Genomic DNA, 599 nt, shown 5'->3' with positions numbered 1-599 from the left:
GACGTGAGCTACTGTGCCTAGTGGAGGATGGGTTTATATTGGGAAAAACCAATCTTATCAAATTTGGTGAAAACGACCACAGGATGCAACCCTCTGGCCTGGGACCCATCCCATCAAGTGGGTGGGGGCTGACAAGAAAACAACAGCGGCTCCTGGACAGCTCCCAGCAGGGCTCACTGCTCGGGCCCGGCCTAGCGCTGAGTGGGGCTGTTCCTGGCCCGACAGCCTCCCGAGGCTGGCTGCCAACACCGCACCCTTCCCACCTGTGTCCTGGAAGTGCTCAGAGGAAACATCTGCCCGGAACATGACATCAGTAAATCATTAATGAGACAGTCACTATATGACATAAATCCACTTAGCGGAGCCTCACCCTCACCTAGCAACTGGGTCACCAGCAAACTAACCACTTGGTGTGACTCTTCCATTAGGACTACATGGCCCCAGAGCCTGAGAGGCCAACGTTCCCAACCAGGGACTCCACCCTTCTCCCAGAGAGAGGCAAAAACAAAACAATGTAACTGAAAACCAGGTTGTAAAAACCGGTGGAAGAGCTGGGAACAGTTAACAGGGTGTCTTTCACCTCTGTGTGTAGGAGCCGA

At 53.6% G+C, this 599-nt stretch overlaps 1 annotated feature.

Moving 5' to 3' along the window:
* Window positions 1-164: a silencer, noted in NCBI's record as "fragment chr21:11110990-11111153 (GRCh37/hg19 assembly coordinates)". NCBI's record gives its function as "represses an EF-1alpha promoter that drives an FKBP-Casp9 reporter gene in an ReSE screen in phorbol 12-myristate 13-acetate-treated (for megakaryocytic differentiation) K562 erythroleukemia cells {active_cell/tissue: K562(+PMA)}" and the evidence as "EXISTENCE:reporter gene assay evidence [ECO:0000049][PMID:32094911]".

The sequence above is a fragment of the Homo sapiens genome, chromosome 21, assembly GCF_000001405.40.
Source record: "Homo sapiens chromosome 21, GRCh38.p14 Primary Assembly".
NCBI classification, from domain to species: Eukaryota; Metazoa; Chordata; class Mammalia; order Primates; family Hominidae; genus Homo; species Homo sapiens.
This window is presented reverse-complemented; position numbering and strand designations above follow the sequence as displayed.